The 23,215-nt window shown below is 42.1% G+C and overlaps 1 protein-coding gene and 1 pseudogene across 4 annotated transcripts in view, besides 2 other annotated features; one reads left to right on the top strand and one right to left on the bottom strand.

Annotated features, from left to right (window-relative positions):
- The window catches only part of MAP2K1 (mitogen-activated protein kinase kinase 1), a 104,633-nt gene that overhangs the window by 69,189 nt on the left and 12,229 nt on the right, over window positions 1-23,215 (bottom strand). For 2 of the 4 annotated variants that reach the window (XM_011521783.4, NM_001411065.1), the window contains exon 1: window positions 20,409-20,477. The exons of the other annotated variants lie outside the window; for them this stretch is intronic. In XM_011521783.4, the coding sequence (XP_011520085.1) occupies window positions 20,409-20,422 (14 nt within the window). In that variant the 5' untranslated portion in view covers window positions 20,423-20,477. Of the gene's footprint in view, window positions 1-20,408; window positions 20,478-23,215 lie in introns of those variants that run through there. 4 annotated transcript variants of the gene reach the window in all.
- Window positions 7,131-7,556, top strand: ATP5MFP6 (ATP synthase membrane subunit f pseudogene 6; annotated as a pseudogene).
- Window positions 17,766-18,559: an enhancer, noted in NCBI's record as "OCT4-NANOG-H3K27ac hESC enhancer chr15:66696135-66696928 (GRCh37/hg19 assembly coordinates)". NCBI's record gives its function as "activates a minimal SCP1, AML or CMV promoter by ChIP-STARR-seq in primed H9 embryonic stem cells {active_cell/tissue: H9 hESC(primed)}" and the evidence as "EXISTENCE:reporter gene assay evidence [ECO:0000049][PMID:30033119]".
- Window positions 19,257-19,376: a silencer, noted in NCBI's record as "silent region_6565". NCBI's record gives its function as "represses an Ori minimal core promoter by ATAC-STARR-seq in GM12878 lymphoblastoid cells {active_cell/tissue: GM12878}" and the evidence as "EXISTENCE:reporter gene assay evidence [ECO:0000049][PMID:35858748]".

Genomic DNA, 23,215 nt, shown 5'->3' with positions numbered 1-23,215 from the left:
ACGGAGAAACTGGGTCTCAGGAGAAGTGACTTATCCAAAGTCACACACACTTATAGGTATCAGAAATTTTGACAAACACTCTCAGGTGCAAATGAATTATATTGTATTACCTATGGGGGAAAAATGAATGTATACGAACAAGCACTGCAAAGAAACATAGATAAATGAAATCAGTTGCTGTGGCAGGGTAGAAGGTGATTTAATCCCCACGTTTTCATGTTGTTCATGCAATAAATAATCTGGGGAAAATGCACAATGTAGTTAATTACCTTTATTGCTTTTATGGTTTCACCACCAACTTCAAAAGTGATTCTGGGGCAATGACTGTACCACAGTTCGCCTAATTCTCACAAAGGGCCTAGAACACAGGCAGCTGTGTAGTTGAGGATATGCTAGAGTAAGTTTTGTGGGGATATGAGGCTCAAACTGGTCTAGAATGATATAAAATAATGAGATAGCAAAAAAAAAAAAAGAGAAAGAGGGCATTCTAGTAGGGGCTAATCTGTGAACAATGGTATAGAATTGGTTTGTTGCTGTTTTTTGTTGGTTTTTTTTTTTTGAGATGGAGTCACTCTGTCACCCAAGCTGAAGTGCAGTGATACGATCTCAGCTCACTGCAACCTCCACCTCCTGGTTCAAGTGTTCCTCCCACCTCAGCCTCCCAAGTAGCTGGGATTACAGGCCCCACTATGCCAGGCTAATTTTTGTATTTTTTTTAGTAGAGACAGGATTTCACCATGTTGGCTAGGCTCGTCCCCAATTCCTGACCTCAAGTGATCTGCCCACCTCGGCCTCCCAAAGTGCTGAGATTACAGGCGTGAACCACTGCACCCAGCGACAATGGTATAGAATTAGGATTAGGAATATTATAAACCATTAACTCGCAGTTAGCACTTAAGGAAAAAAAAAAAAGATTATAAGCCAGGCCAGGCAAGGTGGCTCAAACCTGTAATCCTGGCACTTTGGAAGGCCAAAGCGGATCGCTTGAGCTCAGGAGTTTGAGACCAGCCTGGGCAACATGGCAAAACCCTATCTCTACAAAAAATACAAAAATGCACCAGGTGTAGTGGCATGCACCTGTAGTCTCAACTACTTGGGGGGCCAAGGCAGAAGGATCGCTTGAACCCGGGAGGTCAAGGTTGCAGTGAGCCAAGACCACACTACTGCACTCCAGTCTAGGTGATAAAGTGAGACCCTGTTTCAGAAAAAAAAATTTATATATATATATATGTGTGTGTGTGTGTGTGTGTGTGTGTGTGTGTATGTGTGTGTATGTGTATATATGTGTGTGTGTATGTGTGTACATATATATAAAATTGTACATATAAAAATTATAAGTATATATATGCACGTGTATATATGTATGTATGTGTGTGTATGTATGTGTGTGTATATATGTATGTGTATGTATATATGTATGTGTGTATATATATGTATGTATGTGTGTGTATGTATGTATGTGTATATATACACATATATATACACACATATATATACACACATATATATACACACATATATATACACATATATATATACACATATATATACACATATATATACACACATATATATACACATATATATACACACATACACACACACACACACACACACACACACACACACACACATATATATATATATATGCCAAGAGTAAGTATTAGGGGAATAAAGCTTAAAATAAAAAAATAAGAAAATGAAAGGACAGGTAAATTTATTTTGAAAAATAAATAAGGTAAATTTATTTACCTTTTCAATCGGCTTCCCCAGGTTGAAAGACATTTATTTTATTTTATTTTTGAGACAGGGTGTTACTCTGTCACCCAGGCTGGAGTGCAGCAGTGCAGTCACAGCTCATTGCAGCCTTGATCTCCCAGGCTCAGGTGATCCTCCCACCTCAGCGTTTGGGGTAGCTGGGCCACCATGCCTGGTTAATTTTTGTACTTTTTGTAGAGACTGGGTTTCGCCATGTTGCCCAGGCTGGTCTCAAACTCCTGGGCTCAAGTGGTCCACCCACCTTGGCCTCCCAAAGTGCTGGGATTACAGGTGTGAGCCACTGTGCACGGCTGAAAGGCATTCATTCATTCATTCATTCGTTCATTCATTTATTTGACAGAGTCTTGCTCTGTCACCCAGGCTGAAGTGCAGTGGTGTGATCTCGGTTCACCACAACCTCCGCCTCCCCGGTTCAAGTGATTCTCATTCCTCAGCCTCCCGAGTAGCTGGGACTACAGGTGCCCACCACCATGCCCAGCTAATTTTTGTATTTTTAGTAGAGACAGGATTTCACCACATTGGCCAGGGTGGTCTCGAACTCCTGACCTCAGGTGATCCACCCACCTCACCTCCCAAAGTGCTGGGACTACAGGTGTGAGCCACCACACCTGGCCAAGGCATTTATTTTTAATTTCACTGTAAATCAGGTAGTTTCCAAGCCAACAGACTTTTTTTTTGTTTATGTCATAAAAACAGGTTTGATTAAAAAGAATCCCAGGTAGAATAAGAATCACATATTCCTATCCTTTAAAAAGAAACAAACAAACAAAAACACCCCCTGGGAATCAAACAGTCTTCTGAAATCACATAAATTACCTTCCCACAACATGTTTCTGCAGTCATGTTGAAAAACACACACATACACACACACAGAGGAGCCTCTGGAGTCATGAGGACCACCCACTCACAAAGACTTTCCTCAAATATTGAATAACATCCTGAATCAGACAGGGGGTGTCATATTGTTGCTTAAAACAAGTGACAGCCTATGGTTCCTTCTGTCCCAGTATATAAAATGTGTTTCATATTAGCCGCATATGAAATTTTTTTTTTTTTGAGATGGAGTCTCGCTCCCGTCACACAGGCTGGAGTGCAGTGGCACAATCTCAGCTCACTGCAACCTCCACCTCCCAGGTTCAAGCAATTCTCCTTCCTCAGCCTCCCCAGTAGCTGGGATTACAGGCATGCACCACCACGCCCGACTAATTTTTGTATTTTTAGTAGAGACGGGGTTTTGCCATGTTGGCCAGGCTGGTCTTGAATCCCTGACCTCAGGTGATCCATCCGCCTCGGCCTCCCAAAGTGCTAGAATTACAGGTGTGAGCCACCGCGCCCAGCCAGATAATTTTTAAAGGATCAGGCTTCTGTAGAAGTACAAAAGGAAAAGTGATGGAGTTTGGAGGGAGAGGGGGGAAAAAAAAACAGAAGTTATAAGACAAAAAAGAAGCCAGGCATGGTGGTGCACGCCTGTAATCCCAGCTACTTGGGAGGATGAGGCAGGAGAATCGCTTGAACCCAGGAGGCAGAGGTTGCAGTGAGCCAAGATTGCGCCATTGCACTCCAGCCTGGGCAACAAAGTGAAACTCTGTCTCAAAAAAAAGAAAAAAGGAAAAAAAAAAAAAAAAAAAAAAGGCCGGGCACAGTGGATCACACCTCTAATCCCAGCACTTTGAGAGGCTGAGGTGGGCGGATCACAAGGTCAGGAGATCGAGACCATCCTGGCTAACACATTGAAACCCTCTCTCTACTAAAAACACAAAAAATTAGCCAGGCGTGGTGGCGGGTGCTCGGGAGGCTGAGGCAGGAGAATGGCGTGAACCCGGGAGGCGGAGCTTGCAGTGAGCTGAGATCCCGCCACTGCACTCCAGCCTGGGCGACAGAGCGAGACTCCGTCTCAAAAAAAAAAAAAATGTGGTCAGCATCAGAAAAACAAAGGGAGCCCTGGGTCTGGTGGTGACCACTAAACAGTGGGGCTGGCTGTTACTGAAAAGACAAGCTGGCTATGGCCTTAGAAAGATGACGTACTGGACATTACCCATTCCCTGTTCTTGAGAAGCTGATATAGAAAAATATCTTTTATCCTTCCAGTCATAATGAGGAAAAAATAGTTTAAATAAATTTAAAAAAAGAAAAAGAGCTTTTTAGAAAATCCCTGTATAATAATGGCCCATGCTGGTCTATCAATCAGGAATGCAGTTTGCTCTTCAATGAGGGAGAAGGTACAGGATCCAATGTGACCCAATCAGTTAAACCTCATAACTCAGAACTGAGGCAGGAAAATTGGGTCTGGAGGTAGGGAACATAAGGCCAATTCACTCTTCAGCTATAACAGGAAATATCCTCTCCATAGGTCATAGGCCGCAAATGACTTTGTAACTTTACTTCAACCTCTCCATTTACATACAGCGTACCCAAAATAACAAATGGAATCCTCTAGGGGGTATTTAAATTCCCCAAAACTCTGCAACGGGGCCTTTTGAGCTCCTATGCTTGGGACCGCTCCCACATTGTGGAGGGTACTTTCATTTTCAATAAATCCCTTCGTCCCTTCCTTGCTTTGTGCATTTTGTCCAATTCTTTGTTGAAGATGCCAAGAACCTGGACACCCTCCAACTTTAACAGAACCATAAGTACGGTCGGGTCCCCAAGGCAAAAGGTCAGTAGCCAGTGCCCAGAAGCACACCCAAGGGCAGGAAGATACAGTCAGATGAAACACAGCACTCAAAATATGTCTCCAATTCTAGTCCACAGGAGAAATTGTCAATTCTCCAGACTTGCTTCCCCCTTATATACAAGAACAGCTGTTTGTTACAGCTGGACCCTTCTCCCTGCCCAAATACACACAGGAGGGTCAGCAAATCTCATCCCTGAGCACGTATCACCTCTGGGAAAAAACCCTACCCCCAGATCACTTTCCAACAACCTTCAGGGAATCCTGATTTCAGGATCAGGACTGGAAGTCAATGCAGGTGCTCACTTAAGCATAGGTTTTTTGTTTTTTTGAGACAGGGTCTCATTTTGTTGCGCAGACTGGGGTGTAGTGGTGCAATCATGGCTCACTGCAGCCTCAATCTCCTGGGCTCAGGCGATCCTCCCTCCCACCTCAGTTTCTCAAGTAACTGGACTACAGGCACGTGCCACCATGCCTGGCTAATTTTTGTAATTTTCTGTAGAGACAGGGTTTCACTATGTTGCCCAGATTGGTCTCAAACTTCTAGGGCTCAGGTGATCCACCCACCTAAGCCTCCCAAAGTGCGGGGATTACAGGCGTAAGACACTGCACCTGGTCAACATTCAACATGTTAAACTAGGGGTAGAAAATTACTAGTTAGACCATCAAATTAACAGCAATTGGTCTAGTAAAGTCAAAACCTACCTAGAAGAAGTAATATCACAGAAAGAAACTTAATTAAAACCAAAACTGATAGTGCTTGCTTCTGTCTTCTGAAAAAAGATGTGGGGTGGGGAAATAAGTCTTTGGGCTAACAATACCTGTTCACAGTGGGATCTGGTCCTACTAGAGAACCAGAAAGCTTGCCCATAGTTTAGAAGGGCCTGCTCCTCAGCCTTGGGGTGGGCAGAAGCAGCCCTGAACAGCATGTAGAGGTGCAGCTGGAGAGCTGAATTACGTTGCAAAATAAAATGAGAAAAGCTTGTTTGGGGACTCGTTAAGAGCAGCAAGAGCAGAAGGAAAGGAGGTACCATGGCAGGGTAGCAAAGGTCATTTAAGACCAAAGACACCTAACACCATTAGATTTTAAGTTACCTGTATTGCTGTAATATAATATACCCTCCCCACCCCAAACCTTCCAAGTCCAATCTGCTGTGCACACAAATAGCTTTGTGTATACTTTGTTCTCACTGTTGTTATAGTGGAAACCAAGGAAAAGGAGCCAAATTCCAAGCTAGTTCAAGAACAGAGCAAAAAGAGAAAAAACATAGAAAGGGAAATGTGAGTCCCACAGCAGAACTGATGATGAGAATCTAAACCTCGGGGAGTGCTCCAATCTAGAAAAGGGCATGGGATAGGTAACTTGAGTGAATCTCTGGGTTACATCCATTTATGCCTACAGCTGTGAAAATACAATGCAGATTTACTATGAAGCGTCTACTCCATGACAAGCACTATGTATACTAGAGGCTAGGCTATGAAGACAACAAGATCCCTGTCCTCACAAGGCAGTCTGAAAGGTGGGTGTGTGGGTGGGTGTGTGTGTTTGGGGGGGATTGTAGGGGGGTGTGTATCACAATGTAAGCCAAACATAGGAAAGGATACTAAGAAGAAGTACAGCAACAACTATACAAGTGTAACAACAATCTACAGGGTAGGGTAGGTCAAAATGCTAAAAGCAAGGTAGGCATTGGGAGCTATGGGAACATACAGAAAAACTCCCTAATTCCATCTAAGATAAGGGAGGGAAAGTGAAGGTCAGAAAATGTAATCCCCAAGTTTAATCCTGAGAATATCCTGAGAGTGGATGCATCCAGGTGAGTGATGAGATGGGGCTGCAGGTAAACTGAGCTAGACCATGAAGGGCACAGCACACCATGCTAAAGAATTAGGTTTAGAAGGCGAGTGGGGAGCTAGGGTGACTTCTGTAATTTGACTTCTGTAATATTACCAGGCCTAAAAAAACTAATGTGTGCTCAGTATGAAAAAATCCAACTAGTCTAGAAATATATAGTCTAAAGTAAAACTCTATGTTCCACCTTCCCTCAGATAACTACTCTTAACACTGTAGAATATATACACTTCTAGATTTCTTTGAAATACATTTCCAGTGAATATATATAGTATGTTTTGTTTAACGAAAATGGAATTATAATACACACATTGTTCTGCAACAGCAAATTCTAAAGAAAGTGACAAGATCAGTTTTATATTTTGGAACCAAGAGTCTGGCAACTTAGAAATGGGAGAGCCAAGCCAGGAAAGTCAGCTTGAAGGCAACAAGGAAAACAAGACAAGATGAGAATTTGAACACCACAGCAGCCAGGCAATAAAGAGCTGGGACAGAAACTGAAGGCAGAGTTGGCAAGACTGGGTGATGATCTGGATATGGGGGGAGGGAGGGAGGAGTTGAGGGTGATGCCAGGTTTCTGGCTGGGCATCCAGAGGGATCTGACTTACCACATCACAAAGATGAGGACTAGACAGCTTTGGGGGTTAGGAGGATGTTGTATAATAAAGAATTTGGCTGGCCTTTGTCCCTGGTTTCTGGAGGTAACCTCTAAATCTTTGGAATTTCTCAAGTAATAGGAGTGTCTTTGTTATTCACAGTGGGCCCTGATAGTTTACGCCAATAAGGTGATTCAATGTGGGCCCACAGTTTGCTTAAAAAGATGACACAGGGACAGTGGACACCAGGACTCCAAGATGGCATCAGTCATACCAGTGAAGAACAAGAAACTTCTGGAGGTCAAACTAGGGGAGCTGCCAAGCTGGAGCTTGATGCAGGACTTCAGCAATAGTGGCACTACCGGAGCATTTTGAAGAGGTTATTACTGGTACTACAAGCAGTGCATTGACATGAAGAAGGGGAGCATCTCAGGGGTTACCATGGTGCTGGCAAGCTACGTGCTCTTCAGCTACTGCCTTTCCTACAAGGAGCTCAAGCACAAGTGGCTATGCAAGTACCACTGAAGAAGAGGGCATGCTCTGCACTCCCCGCCATGACCTTCTTGGCCCGAGCCCCTCCATAAGGAACACAGTCTCGATCGTTGCTGAATCCTTTCATATCCTAATGGGAATTAACCTCCAAATAAAAGATGACTGGGGGAAAAAAAAAAAAAAAGACACAGGATGGGGGCTGGCCATACCAGAAAGACCAATCATGTGATTACAAGGTTGGGGCTCTGAGCCATGTAATACAGCCTAACCTGCAGTGAGTAAAAGGGCTAGAGATTCAGTTCAATCACATGGCCAATGATTCAATTAATCATGCCTATGTAATGGGGCCCCAGTAAAAACTCTGGACACTGAAGCTCAGGGGAGCTTCCCTGGTTAATAATACTCTGTGCATATTGTTACACATCAATGTACTAGGAGAGTGACTGTGCCCTGATTCCAAGAGGTGAAGACACCAGAAGCTTTACATCTGGGACCCTCCCAGGCCTTACCCTATATGCCTCTTCTTTTGGCTGCTCCTGATTTGTACCCTTTTTGCTATAATAAAATTGTAATCAGAAGTACAGTGCATTCCTGAGTTCTGTGAATTGCTCTAGCAAACTATGGAACCTGAGAGGATAGTGAAAACCCCAATTTGTAGCTAGTTCAACAGAAGTGTGTGTGGTCAGGAAACCCCTTAGATTGTAACAGTCTTATGAAGGGCAGTCTTACAGAGGACTGTGTGTTTAACCTATGAGGTCTGCCTGACTCTGGGTAGTTAGCATGAGAGGTCATCACAGGCGACAAGAGGATTATAAATCTATTTTTTGGAAAAGGTGAGTTGGAGATAACCTGCAGGCTCTACGTGTGGAGCTACTCAGTATATGGCTGACCAGATAGGCCAGAAACTCCTAACAGAGACCTGAGGCAGGTTCACAAGTCTAAGATGATGATAAGAGCCACGAATGCAGAGGATATCAAAAGGGCAAGTGTAAACAATTAAAAAAAAAAAAGTCCCTTCACCATAAATAAGGTTACAGGAAAAAAAAAAAAAAAAGAAGAAGAAGAAAAAAATAAGAACAAAACAGAAGACCCAAAAACCCCAAGACAGGCCCAGATCCCTGCTTTGGGGATACAGTCCTTCACTCCTCAAGACAGCGTTAGTCACTCACCCTTTGAGTTCCCATAGCCTGTGCTGTATCACACACCAGAGTTAGAGCATGTGTCACAATGCCTTGCAATTACATGCTCATACCCTCAATTAAGCTGGAAGTATCCCCCAAACTTGAGTCTAACCCAGTGTGAGGTATACAATAAACACTAAAACCAAAAGAAAAAAAAAAATGCCTACAATACAGAAATGGATGAGAATTTGCAGTGAGAAATATTTTTGTGGTTGCTGAATTCTTGTAATTATTTTAGCTGTGTGAAATCTGCCATAATCTTTTTTCTTATTACTTAAGTTCATAATTTGTTTTAGTATTATGAACAGGTAGACACAGGGAGGTCAGAGAACTTTAAACGTCAACAAATTTTTCATTCTGGCTAGAGCAGGTTAGTTGCCCTAAGTCTCATTTACAACTTTTTGTTTTGCTTTAATGCTTGTTCCAATCCCACTGAGGAAAATGCAGTGCTGAAGCACCAAGAGGAGAAGAGTCAAGCTTATTCCCTTAGGATCAAGATGGTCCTAGACACCAGCCCAGAATGCTTCAGGATATTTAGGGTTCAGTAAAGAGCAGCCTGACATCCTAGCTTCTAAAAATTGACACAAGGGGCCAAGCGTGGTGGCTCATGCCTGTAATCCCAGCACTTTGGGAGGCCGAGGCAGGTGGATCACCTGAGGTCAGGAGTTCGAGGCCAGCCTGGCCAACATGGTGAAACCCTGTCTCTACTAAAAATACAAAAATTAGCTGGGCGTGGTGGCGAGCACCTGTAGTCCCAGCTACTTTAGAGGCTGAGGCACGAGAATTGCTTGAACCTGGGAGGTGGAGGTTGCAGTGAGCCGAGATCACGCCACTGTACTCCAGCCAGGGCGACAGAGAGAGACTGTGTCAAAAAATAATAATAATAATAAAATAATAAAATAAATAAATAAATAAAATTTCCACAAGGGCCAGGCACAGTGGCATGCGCCTGTAGTCCCAGCTACTCAGGAGGCTGAGATGTAAGGATGGCTTGAAGCCAGGAGTTTCAGGCTGCAGTGCACTATGACTGCACCTGTGAATAGCCACTGCCCTCCAGCCTGGGCAATACGGCAAGACCCCATCTCAAAACAAACAAAAATTGCCATAAGAATATTTGTTTTAATATTTAAATATCTAAAATGCATGTAAGATATCAGTGTGACCAGGATGCAATCTAAGTATGCAGTCTTTGGGCCAAATTACCAATTATGTGCTCAGGCAGAGTAGATTATCTGGGTAAGTGTAAAAATTATCATTTGAAACCTTCAAAGAAATGGAGTCAAGAGCTACACAAATGCAGGAGATACTGGCTTCCTTGACTAGAAGAGCTGTCCTGTCCAGAAAACTGAAGTCTAAAAATTGCTGAGTTCAGCTTTCCAGATCCTTGGAAGCCTCCTAAAGACTTCGTTTTTAGATGCTTAACGTTTTCATTACCTGGTCAAAGAACCAGCTCAAAGAAGCCTTTCACAGTACAGCCAGGTCCAGCCCATTCTGTCTACCAGCCCACAGCAAACGCAGAGGTGTTTCCACATATCAAACCACAGTCCTGGAGCTGATTCCTAAACACAACACTGATTTACATTATTAGCTATGCAGTAAGTTTACAAAGGATAGTTGCTTTTACAGCGACACTAAAGCTCACCAAATTCAGTTCACCTATTTCATTTCACATACACATTACTGGATTTTTGAGGGTTATTTTTATTTGCAAAATTGCAGCCTCCATCAATAATTTGTCTCCAATGTATAAACTATATTCTTAACAAAAAGGACCAAAATTGTGGAAACAACCCTGAACTTGAAGTCAGAGGGTCTGGAGCCCTCTATTAACTCTGCTGGTAACTGGTCATCTAACCATGGGCAAGATCTCTCTCCTGCCTTAAATGGAAGCACACTCTTGTCCTGTATCACAAGGGACTGTTATGAGCACCTGGACAGAGAATGGGTGGGAATGTGTTTTAAAATGGATAAATAGGTAAACACATTAAAGAGACACTTTTCTAATATACATATATATATCTTTTCTTCTGACTTATCCTTGGTTAGAAAAGAATGTGATTTTGGATGACACCACATTCACTGTGAATCTTGAAAGCGCACTGAAGAATACACCAATGATCAAAATTAGAAAACAAAATCTATTGAAACAACACTCTAGTGGATCTTAAACTTGAGTTATTAGCTGCAGGGAAAAGACAATAGCAAAACCAATATTATTGGCATTCTTAGGACTTTGGTCACTTTGGATCAAAAATCTGCAGGGTCTGTCTGGCACTTAAAAAAGAAGCAGATAAAAAGATTTGTCTACCAAGCTCTTCCTCTTCACTTCTCCCCACCTACTTCCTTTTCTTCCAAAGGAGAAGGGCTCTCATTTACCCACTGGTTTGCCACATCCTGCCTAAGAAGCTACTTCCTGGGAACTGCCTGGGCTATTCTGAGAGGAGCTTTAACTCTTTCAGACCCTGAGACCCTAGTATATTCATGACATCTGTACCTACCATAGTCATTTACAACCTAATAACTAAACTCCAGTTGACCAGATAATACTCCCAACTTCCTTCATGCCAGGCCCCATATTAAGCACTCTACCTACAACAATCCAGGCAGGATTCGCATTTCTTGGTCCCATCTGGGGTCTCCAACCAGTCCAGCCTTGCTTAATCAGTCAAAAAGGACCAAAAAAAAAAAGAAACCTCAAGAACAGTTATCAAGAAACTCAACGCACATAACATTGCATTTGATATTGATGGAAACTCAACTGAACAAAGCTTCTGTCCCACAGAAGCTCTGTAAACTAACACTGGCTTTCATTCATTCCACTTTTACTGATCAACTAGTACATGGCAGGCCTGGGCGGGAGATGGGACATCAAGGCTGAACTCTTCATCTGCAGAAGCTTACAATGTAGCTAGTAAAGCAGAACAAATATGTACAAAGATCGCCACATCCCTGCCAAGTGATCTGTCTCCTGAGTAGTTCATGTACAGTTTCACTGTACTGTATGTGTGTCCCTCCCAAAAGTTTCCCCTTAAGACCTACCCCAGACTAGAGAGGACCGCAAACCTGTCGATGGCATCCCAGTTGCTGAGCTTCCAAGGCTCCCCAAATTCATTAGCAAGAGAATGTAGAATACTGGAACTTCTTTGACAAATGAGAAGTTTTTTCAAGTTCTAGACTTGGACCTATTGTTACATTTTAATAAGCCTTCAGCAGTCTGGATACCTGCCTTTGGATTATATATCAAAAATATGGTGATTTTAGAGCCAAAAGGCACAATTGTGTTATCATTTCAGATTAACTGTTAAGAGAAAAATTAACTATTTTTTCTCTCTCTCCAAATACACTTATCAACCTTCTCTCTTTTTTCCCCTTTTTCCTAAAAGTTAAATCCTATCGCTCAAACCCACACAGTTAACCCCTAGGACTGCATGTCACTGTACAGAAATGTGTTAAGCCTTTAATGGTCCTCACCAAAGATATGTCAAGAGAAAATGTAAGGGTTAACAGGAAATTAGTTCTGTGTTGGGGTCCTTTAACAATGAACAAGTATTCACTTTTATTCATTTCAAACTGAACATGCCATAGACTCTCCCCTAGTTGTAAGACAGAAGACAAGGTTAAGCAGTAGGGCAGGGCAAAAAACAAGGGCCCTGCACAGGAGAGAAGTCAACGGATCCGGATGCAGGTCTTCACCAGCCATCTGACAACTGAGTAGGCTGCCCAGTCTCTCTGGGCCTCAACCTCTTCATATATACATACAGGAGGCTGAACTATCAAGATCTTTTCCACCTCTGTCATTTTAAGGACAAGTGGTTATACTCTGGGGAGAAGGAATTAAAGGTGCTGATGGGGAAACGGATGATTAACATAATGTAATTCTTCTTTCAAAGGGTCTGTGAATAGAAAAATATACAGAAAAAAATTCTTTAAAAACCACAATGTAATTCTATCCTGGGCCCAGAAATAGCCTGCTTAGCACAGCATTCACCTTATCAGCCTAGATATATTAGCGGGGGTGTGAAGACTGGTGGGTGGGAATCACAGCCACCTACAGTGAAATTAAACTCTGTTCCCAAGTGAGTTCTGCTGAAGTGTGATTTATCCAGAGAGTGTTATAGAATTTACCAGCAGCATGAAACCATGTTACCAAAATTGTGTTATTGCACAAACTTAACTTTTTCCCAAATGTGATTTGCAGAGCTGAGAATCCTGTCTGTGGCCATCTGTCCTATCCTAGTCCCCAGAGGCGTGGCGGAGGAGTGTGAGAAGCCACCAGGTGCCATGTAAATTCAGCCACCCATGTCACATATCCATCAAGGAGACCAGCATTTGCTAGGGATAAGTATGCAGCTTGGCATGCAAAAGAGGCTCCCAGATCCATCCGGCCCAAACATTCCCAGAGCCTTCCTCTGTGCCAGGCATAAGGCTAAGAGAACGCCACAGAATAGGGAAGATGTTCTCACCAGTATATGCTCCCCAAATGTTTCCTCCTTTGGGCTGGGATGGGACTGTTGGCTGAAAAGGCAATACAAAGGACTATAGGCACTCTTAGCTGCCTGTATGACAGGCACAAGTCCTTTAACCAGAATCAGTTTCCTCATGTATCAAGCAGAGATAACATACATCCCACATGCCTCATGTGGCTGAGTGAAGAAATAAATGGATGTATGAACAATGAAGAGCATACAGAGCCTCCCAGGACAGATGCTACGGTTACCAACAACACTGTGACCCTCCTGTGCCAAGAAATTATAAACTGAAAAGAATCACCCCTCATAAACTCAAAGCCAGGCTTCACAGCGGTTAGCAGAACCTTGCCCTTTGGAGAGGAGTATCTTCTGCTGACTAGACAATTACATAAGTAACTGAAGTGTGATGGAATATGTACAGAGTGCTCCGGAGGGTGGAGCAGATGACCGCTGCCCAGATGGGGTGGAGGAGAGGTCTGTGATGGATTTACATAAGACATGACCTCCAAGTTGAGCTTTGACGTAAGATGAAGATTTCAACATACGTATATTGGAGGTGGAGACGGGAATCCCCAGTAGAAGACATAGTATGAGCAGAGGCCAGGACCCACTGAGGAAGATGTCTGGATGAACCATGCGCTGATCCCCACAGGGATCAGGATTCAGCCACAGGGAGTGTTACCTTCCAGTTATGCCACCAAAAGCCAGTGACTACCCATCCCAAATTAACACCCCTCTTGACCCCCGCCCAACACAACCCCATACCACCCCCACACACACGCACACATACATCAGGAAATCTTCCTTAAACTCTTGGGAGAAGAAAGCTGGGCTTATCTGGGTGGGGCCTGTCAGGCAGATGGCTGCCCTAGAGAAGCTGGGAGGAGTCTATATTGGGATGTACTGTGTGGCAGTTGTTTCCTAAGGCACCTTTTGCAGACTCCTGTTTCACTGAAAATAATTCTTTTGCTTCCTGCACATCCTAAAAAATTGCAAGTATGCCCGGTGTTGTCTCTATTCTAAGTCTGTTGGATAAAGAGCAGCTGAAGAGCCCCGTCACTGTAAGTTCTTTGGGAAATAAGAATTTTCTCTCCTTCTCACCTGATAGAAAGTAAGGCAACCTGCACTGGGGATCTAATCTTGGCTGTTATCATTAGTCTTGTTAATCACAAAAAGCAGTTTACACACAGAGTGTATGAATCCTTTCTGTTGGATAAATGTTGTTATGCCCATTTTACAGATGTGGGAACAGACCCAAGGATGTAAAAGCACTTGCACAAGACCACAGACATAGTAAGGCAGGGTCAGAATTCAAACTCAAAGTCTGCTGGCTACAAAGCCTTTCCACTGTGCCACACGGCCTTTAGGTTATGTTACTCAAAAGTCACAAAATTCCAAATAGAACATACTGTGTGACATAGCCAACTTCTCTTAACCTTACTTTGGTTTTTCTTTTCTTTTGTTTTGTTTTTAACAGACGAAGTCTTGCTCTGTTGGCCAGGCTGGGGTGTAGTGGCACTACCACAGCTCGCTGCAGCCTCAACCTTCTGGGCTCAAGTAATCCTCCCGCCTCAGCCTTCTAAGTAGCTGGAAATACAGGCATGAGCCATATCTAGCTTTAACCCTTCTTTGTAGCCCTGGATTCAAGGTAAGATTACAACAGAAGACAACCAAGATTTCTTTCAACAATAAAATGTAATCTCTACTTGCGTGAAAGCATGCTGAGTGGTAACCCATGAAACTATGTGCAGCTCATATACAAACCCTGAAAGGTAGGAAGCCATTACCATCACTCCCACTTTGCAGAGAAAAAACCTGAGGCACAGAGTTGGTCATGCAGTGACTTCACAGGTTGACCAGGAAAAGAGCTCAGATCTCACACTTTTCTACACAAGGGACTGTTATTCCAAAGCACTATGGCCTAAAAATTCTGAAGCCTGAAGACTTCTAGACCCTCTGGAAGAGTGGTTAGTCTCTGGAGTCAAATGAAACGCTTGTGGGGGCAGAAATATTCAAAATAGGATTGGGAAATTGGGCTTTTCACTGCACTGCTGGCCCCCAAAACCAGCACCACTCTGAGAGGAATAGCCATCTTCTTTTGATCATTCTGCATTCAGGCCTGTTGACTCCAAAACTCTCAGAAGCCTATTCCCAACTTTCTAGAAGTTAGACCCTATACTACAAAACAATACACGGAGCCCTCTGGATGCTCTGCTCCCCAACCCCGTGATGTTGGGCAGTTGGAAAACCCTGTGTCAGAGCTCCTGGGGACCCCTTCCAGCTGTTGCCACAATCTTTTTTTTTGTTTTGTTTTGTTTTGAGACAGAGTTTCACTCTTGTTGCCTAGGCTGGACTGCAATGGCACAATTGATTCTCCTGCCTCAGCCTCCCAAGTAGCTGGGATTATAGGCATGCACCACCACGCCCGGCTAATTTTTTGTATTTTTAGCAGAGATGGGGTTTCTCCATGTTGGTCAGGCTGGTCTCAAACTGCGGAGCTCAGGTGATCCGCCCGCCTCAGCCTCCCAAAGTGCTGGGATTACAGGTGTGAGCCACCGCACCCAGCCTGTTGCCACCATCTTTAAAGTCCTTTCTGCTCCTGCCCTTGGACTCTCAGAGAAGACAGGTACTTTCCTGGATACCTTGCCACCATTCCAATTTCTCTCCATTTTTAATCTCTCTGAGCATACTCATGCACATGACTTGAACATTTCTTTAAGAAGAAACCAAAACCTCAATTTCTCAGTTTTTGATAGACAACTTTTCTAAACCATGAGTCTGTTAGTTATACCGAAATCAAACATTACATTTAGGCTTCCTAAAAATATCAATCGCCCCAGCACAATGCCTCCTTTTGCTCCCACTTGCCCATCCTCCAAACACACATACACTTCAGACTGTCATTTAGACACTGGAGTGTATAATTTAAATGCCTTTTAATAGCATCTACTAAAAGGACATTTGCACATGACTCCTCACTTTACTTCAGAGCTATGAAGTATGATCCACACTGAGGCTTTTACTGAATTTCAAGGCTAAACAGGAAGGTACATGGATGGCAAATACCAGCAATATAATTCAGACAGGAATTTAAAATGCATTCAACTTGTCCATAATAAGACATCTTTTTCCATTTCAGCAAAAGTCCTTTTAGTTCATGTTGCAACCCAGTGCCTGGTATGTATGAGTTAAACACTAAACATCAGTTCAATGACTGTTAATACATCTTACTCTTAACATACAAGTTAGAAATCTATTGTTGTAATTTTGGCCATAATCTAAATCTATTTGACTCTAACATAAATGCCATTTGAATCAATGGCAAATAATAGGCAGCTGCTTGCATTCAAAGTATACATCCCTCTGTCATTTGAACTGTTTGAAGTTGGTCTCCTTTGGAAGACAAATGGTTAGCAGCTGCAAGTTCAATTACAAAGCGCTTGGTAGGAAGTCAGAGAAAGAACCAGAGGGAATCCAAGTGCTATTTCATACATTAAGAATGGAATTCCTTTCCAACAAATATATTTCATTTCCTTTGGGGAAACTAATCCGGACATGCCCTTTGAACTTGGTAAAATGCAGGATTCTTTGGGAGAAAGAATCTAGTTTAAAGGCCAGGCAAAGCTGGGAGAGTAGCGGAGTCACTCCATTTCTCACATTTCCATTCTGTTCATTTTTTTAAGGGAAGAATGTGGGGCATGGGAAAATCTAACAGGCAACCAGTCCAAAAAACTGGATTAATTAGCTGTCTGATGCTGAACGTTACTTCCTTTCTTTGTCCCTCATTTTCTCCTTTGTGGAATAAAAGGGGGAAAAAATTAAATAAAGGGGCAAAACTGAATGACCTCTAGACCAGCACTAATAGAACTTTCTGCAATGAAGAAAGCATTCTAATCCGTGCTGGTCCAGTATAGTAGCCACTAGCCACACATGGACACTGAGCCCTTGAAATGTGGGCAGTGCAACCTAGGAACTGATTTTTCAACTTTAATTTTAATTAATTTAAATTTAGCAGTTTTGGGAAGTGAAGATCCAGAAAGCCCTCTGGCATTTTACACAGTACTGAGAGGGCCGTGTGGAAAAAGCATGCCTATCAGAGTAGGACAGACCTGAGTCTAAACTTAGCTCTACCACCTACTAGTTGTGCAACCTTATGAAATAACTTCCCTGAGCTTAATTTTCCTTATTTGTAAAATAGAATACTATGACCTTTCTTGCAGAATTTTAGTGCAAATTCAAGATAATGAATGCAAAGAGATGAGGTAGGCCTTCATAAATGGTAGCTATTTTTCCAGTTGCGATGTCCTCTAGGGATACAAGTTCCATGTCTTCTGACTTATCCTACTCTCTTTCTTGCAGTAGGATCAATTCTTATTGCCCCACAGATTAACAGCAGTGGTCCTACAGATGCATCCTTGTCTATCAAAAAAGCAACTTGCTCAGGAATTGTTCCCAGGTCCTCAGCTGAGGGCAAGCCTCCGGTAACCCAAGTCCTCTGTGCCTCAGGAACCACTGATTTCCGCTCACCATTTCCGCTCACCGTGTCCCCTCCAGCTCTCACCCTCCTTCAGGAATTTACAAACTCTTCCCAGGGACTGCATATCAAGCTGATTCTTTGTTCAACGTAACCGAAACACCTGTTGGTGGTTTCTGGTACTTTCCTCACTACCTCTCCCCTTGACTTCCCCTAATAAATGTTACGCCTTCCTTTTTAACTGGAAATGCTTTAGAACTACTTTTTTAAAAAATTATTCAGTGATTTAGAACACAAGAAATAGAAATGCAGCAAGCTACCTTTATGGCTAACCCAGCATTCACTTAGTTACCAAAATAAAACAAGGCAAAAGAGACCGTTTTATAGGAGTATTCCAGTAAATATTGAAGTGTTGCAATCTCTAAATATAATGTGTTAAGAGCTTAGCCCAATATTCCACTGTTTTTGTTTGTTTTGTTTTTTTCTGAGACAGAGTCTCACTCACTCTGTTACCCAGGCTGGAGTGCAGTGGCGCGATCTCCGCTCACTGCAACCACCACCTCCCTGGTTCAAGTGATTCTCCTGCCTCAGCCCCCGAGTGGCTGGGACTACAGACACACGCCACCATGCCTGACTATCTACTGGTCTTTCCTTTAGTGAACGGTACCTTTCCTTGGCTCCAATGACCTAGTTTTATCAGTGGACGCAAATGAGTGCCTGATTAGCAGGATACATTTTCTATTATTAATAATTATTGGAATGTTAAACAGCTTTCTTCTGCCTGTTTTCCCACCATCCTAAAGACTCCAAGAAAGAGGAGCTGAAATACAGGCTGGCATTTTGGTAGAATTTCTATCTGGATTTGAGTAAACCATTAAACAAAAGGTTTACAGTGAGCTTGGAATTCTTGCTAACTTCTGAGGTCTGCCCTCCCCGACATAAGGACATTCTTGAGGACTGTTTACTAAAGGGTGGTATGAAAGCAGCAAAGGGGGCAAATAATTCTGACTCTGAGTCTACTCTCAAATGGACTGAGGGTCTGATCTAATTTGTAAAACTAACCTGGATATACAAATTATAATTCAATAAAGAAGGAAATATAATTAACCTGGATTCGGACAAACCTGTAAAACAACGATTGACTCATTTCATGTCTTCTCTCCACAACTCCCCAAATTTCTAAATTTAACCTGAATCTGGAACCCACGTGGATTATGCACTCAATTTCCACTTTGTCTGAAAAGTAAATGCATTTAAGAGCATTCGAGATTCTGAACCCTTCTGGTAACAGCTAAACTCAAAATAGGTCAATTCCAGAAAGGCATCCATTTCAAGGGGACTTTCGTCTGCGGTTATTTTGAAAACCACTGCTTTTAAAACTGACATTATGAAGCTTAAAAATAGGCCCTCCTACTAAGGATCAAGGACTAAAATACCCTTTCCTCCCTGTCCCAGCCCCAACCCCACAACTTTTCTTTATTCTCTTTTCCCTCAACCACCTAGGAGAGTGAGGATATAGAGGGGTAACCTTTTCTAGAGCTTCAGATAATTACTTGAAAATAATTTTTTTAAGGATATTGCATAGTTACCAAAATTTAATGTTGGGTAAACTTGGAAAACTGTCAAACCAAGTAACTTTCCCAAATGAAAACATGTACTGTATGTAATATGTACCATAAAAAAATAAGAGTAAAAGCTCAACCACCTCCTTCCACTGCAGCAGTGTGAACTCTGGCAAATTCACACCTCTCTAGGTCTGGTTTCCTCATCTCTCAAATGAAGGCCCAGGTCTAGAGAACCTGTTAGGTCCCATCCAGCCCTAATAAGCTCTGCTTCTATAAATCTGGGCAGCTGCTTCCTTTTTTCACAGCTCCTTGGAAAGAACAGAAAAGTCCCTGGCCCAGGAGGTCCTTGAGAAACCTCGTTACACTTAATAGTGTTCCCTGAGACACCAGAACTGCTACTGAGAGCAACGCAAGATGAGACAGCTATAAAATATCTATCACATTGAAAAGAAAAAGTTGTTTTGCAGATGACACTAGTAAATCTACAAATGCATATATATTCAATCAAAAAACGTTACTAGATAGATTAAGTGGATTTAACAAAGCTGCTGGATATAACCAGTTCATACAAAACAAACCATAGTCGAGATGGAAAATACAAACTTAAAAATGTTCAATAACAACAGCATCAAAATGTTACGTATTTGAAATATTAACTCAGGACGCAAGAGAATTATTAAGAAACTATAATACCCTAAAATGAGAAAGAGGAACACATGAACAAATGGAAAGATACCCCACGAAAATTGCTGAAGTTTTCCTTAACCCCACCAAATTAAAAAATATATATGACTCTCAAAACTACGTAAGAGTGGGTTAAAAGTTTTAGTAGATAAAAATATCATAAAGACCAAGGTAAACCTGAAAATACAACAGATGGATAAATGCATCATGTTTAGTAAACTCCAGTAAGACACTAGACTTCACTGTGGAGAAAAATTAACTTAGACATACACCTCATACCGAGCATATTAATTCCACATGGGAAAAAGAGTTAATCACAAAAGGGGGAAAAAGGTTAGAAGAAAATGAAGCCACATATTCCTGCTAGTTGTGTAGAGATGACAGATGTTAAACCGCTAATGAAAAGTATGCTATACATAATGCCCAGTCAAAAAACACGCTTTTGAATATTTAAAAATGAAATATTTTTTCTTAATACATTACACACAATGGAACAATGTAGTAACCACATCATTTATAAAACTTCAAAATACAAAGCATATAAAAACTACTCAGAAATACTTTAAAATGATCAGAAAGGAAGAAAAATTTGCATGTGATTTTTCAAAATGTTCAGCCTGGAACCACAAAACCACCTCAGCCTACCTCTCCAGCTTCATTTCCTTCGACCCGAACCGATGCACCCGTCACACTCAACTACTTGCTGGCTTCTCTGCACATCCCAGGCTTTCCCACTTGTGTGAAGTTGCTCATCCCGTGCTCTCTTCCTGCCACGCCCCTCCATTCCCATGGAATCCTAGCCATCCTTCAAGACCCAGTTCAACTGTCATCTCCTCCATGAAGGCTCTCTTCATCTCCCCTCCTGGATGCGCACACTCCCTCCTCAGGCCAAGCTCCAACAGTGCTTGCTTTGTAGCTTTTCTGTGGCACTTTTCTTACTCTGCAGCCATTGTTTCCTCCTTCTTGTGCTCCTAAAATCTCCCCCTACACTCTCATATTAGATTTTAAGATCCTTGAAGGCTGAGATAATGTTACTCATCTTGAGTCACCTACCTGCAGCTCCCAGAATAGTGATTTACATTCAGTAAGCATTCAATAAATATGAGTTTAAACTGAATTGATGCAATTCAAAAATACAACAATTAAAGGGAAGCAAGCTGACCTTTAAAGGAGCCCTTAAACTGCCTATTAAACTATCAAAAACCACTAAACTGAAAAAAAAAGTTCTGAGGCTTGAGGAAACAGTTGAAATATACATTGTAAATTGGTTCAATCTTTTTTTGGAACATATTCTGTTAATATGTAACAACAGCAGTAGCACGGTCCATTGCCTCTGATTTGGTAGATGAATTCATCTAGAAGCAAAACAAAATAAATGGACTCAAAAACATTTACAAGCCTATCATTAAATAATAAGAATCTGGAAGCCACCTAATAATCAACAAAGTGTCATTTGCTTAGCCAGATCCTATCAAACTCTACTCTTCAGCCAATAAAAATGACAAGGATGAGGATTATGTCCATGTGTAAAAATCAGGAAAAAATCAACTGATCTCGACTATCCAAAAACATATACAATGGAATAAACACAGTTAAACTGGAGAATGTAATGTCTATAGGTTTTTTCTTTAGAAGGTATTCATACATTCAAAAATTTTAAAGCATTGTCCTTAAGCAGGCAACTATTCAAAGGGAGGGGCTCAAGGTCTTTCTACCTTGTCCATTTTCTCTTCAACCTCCAGGTGACCTCTTCTTAACCTGACTCCCTTCCTGACATCAGAGCAGGATGCCCCTGGGAGTTATGCAGCGAAATCAGAGTCAGGATCAGCACTTTTAGCTTTTGGCCCTTCATGGGATTCAGAAAACACCTGCTATTTCAAAACAAAACACTATTCATCTTGGGAGGAGAAGACGAAAACTTAGCAAACATGTAACTGAGCCTCTAAACAGCTCTCTTGGGATTCTGAGCAACAAGGGCACAGGACATGAAGTAAAAACACAATCAAGTTGCAGCAAGAGACCAGGACGATTTTTCGAAATTGGCAGTTTCTGGAAGTGAACAACAGAAACAAAGCTGGAACCCTAAGCTTTTTTCTCAGGTTTGCCTCATTTTGTTCCTAGTCTCTGTGTTCTCTGGATTTGCTTTCTCAATGTGTCAGAAAGATTCACCACTGCTTGACTCATACTTCAGGGGGATGTGGTGGAATATCCACACAGAGAAATGCTAGCAAAAAGTTCCAAAGAGGGAGTTAAGAAAAAAAGAGAAAGTGTCTGGGCACAGTGGCTGACACCTGTAATCCCAGCACTTTGGGAGGTTGAGCCAGGTGGATCGCTTGAGCCAAAGAGTTTGAGACCAGCCTGGGCAACAGAGTGAGAACCTGTCTTAAATGAAAAGAAAAGAAAAGCCAGCAGAAAAGGTTTTTTTTTGCTAGTTTGTTTGTTTAAATGTATTTTGGTGTTCTCAAATCTACCAATAATGATATATCGAATCAGCAATGCTGTACATTCAATTGTACACTGTACACAAAAAAAGTATGTTTCCTAATAAGAAAAAGATTCATAAAGTAGATTTAGTGAATAAAAATTATATAGTAATATAATAAAGTACTTATGCAAGAAGCCAAAACCTCAGCATCATGCTCAAACCTGCACATATACCCCCTGAATCTAAAATTAAATACAAAAACAGCTGGGCGATAGCCAGGCATGGTGGCTCACACCTGTAATCCCAGCACTTTGGGAGGCTGAGGTGGGCGGATCACGAGGTCAAGAGTTCCAGACCAGCCTGGCCAACAAGGTGAAACCCCATCTCTACTAAAAATACAAAAATTACCCAGGCATGGTGGCACATGCCTGTAGTCCCAGCTTCTCAGAAGGCTGAGGCAGGAGGATCACTTGAACCCGGGAGGTGGAGGCTGCAGTGACATGAGATCGTGCCACTGCACTCCAGCCTGGGCGAGAGTGAAAAAAAATAGCTGGGTGTATTGGCACGTGCCTATAGTCCCGGGTACTGGGAAGTGGAGGCTCTGGGGAGGGATCACTTGAGCCCAGACGGTGAGGCTGCAGTGAGCCACGATCCACACCACTGCGCTGCAGCCTGGGCAACACAGCAAGCGAGATCCTATCTCAAAAAAAAAGAGGGGGTGGGAGGGGAGAGATTGCATTTAATGTGATGTTTATCATACAATGTAGACAAGCAGCACAAAGGAATCTAGGGATGGGAAAGAGCAAATATTAGTTGACATTAAAGTACATAAGACTTGGAATGAGTTTTGCTTTTGGGGTACTTTTTAAATGTATTACAAATTTTTTTCAAACATACAGAAAAATTGAAAGAATAAAAGTAAAACTCTAACTAAACAAAACAACTGTGAACATTCCGTTCCATTTGCTTTATCCACTGTTTGTGTATGTTTGAGTTTTTTTCCTGAACCTCAGAGTAAGTTTTGTGC

This window comes from Homo sapiens, chromosome 15 (genome assembly GCF_000001405.40).
Source record: "Homo sapiens chromosome 15, GRCh38.p14 Primary Assembly".
Classification (NCBI taxonomy): domain Eukaryota; kingdom Metazoa; phylum Chordata; class Mammalia; order Primates; family Hominidae; genus Homo; species Homo sapiens.
The sequence above is the reverse complement of the archived record's forward strand: the minus strand, read 5'-3'. Positions and strand labels throughout refer to the sequence as shown.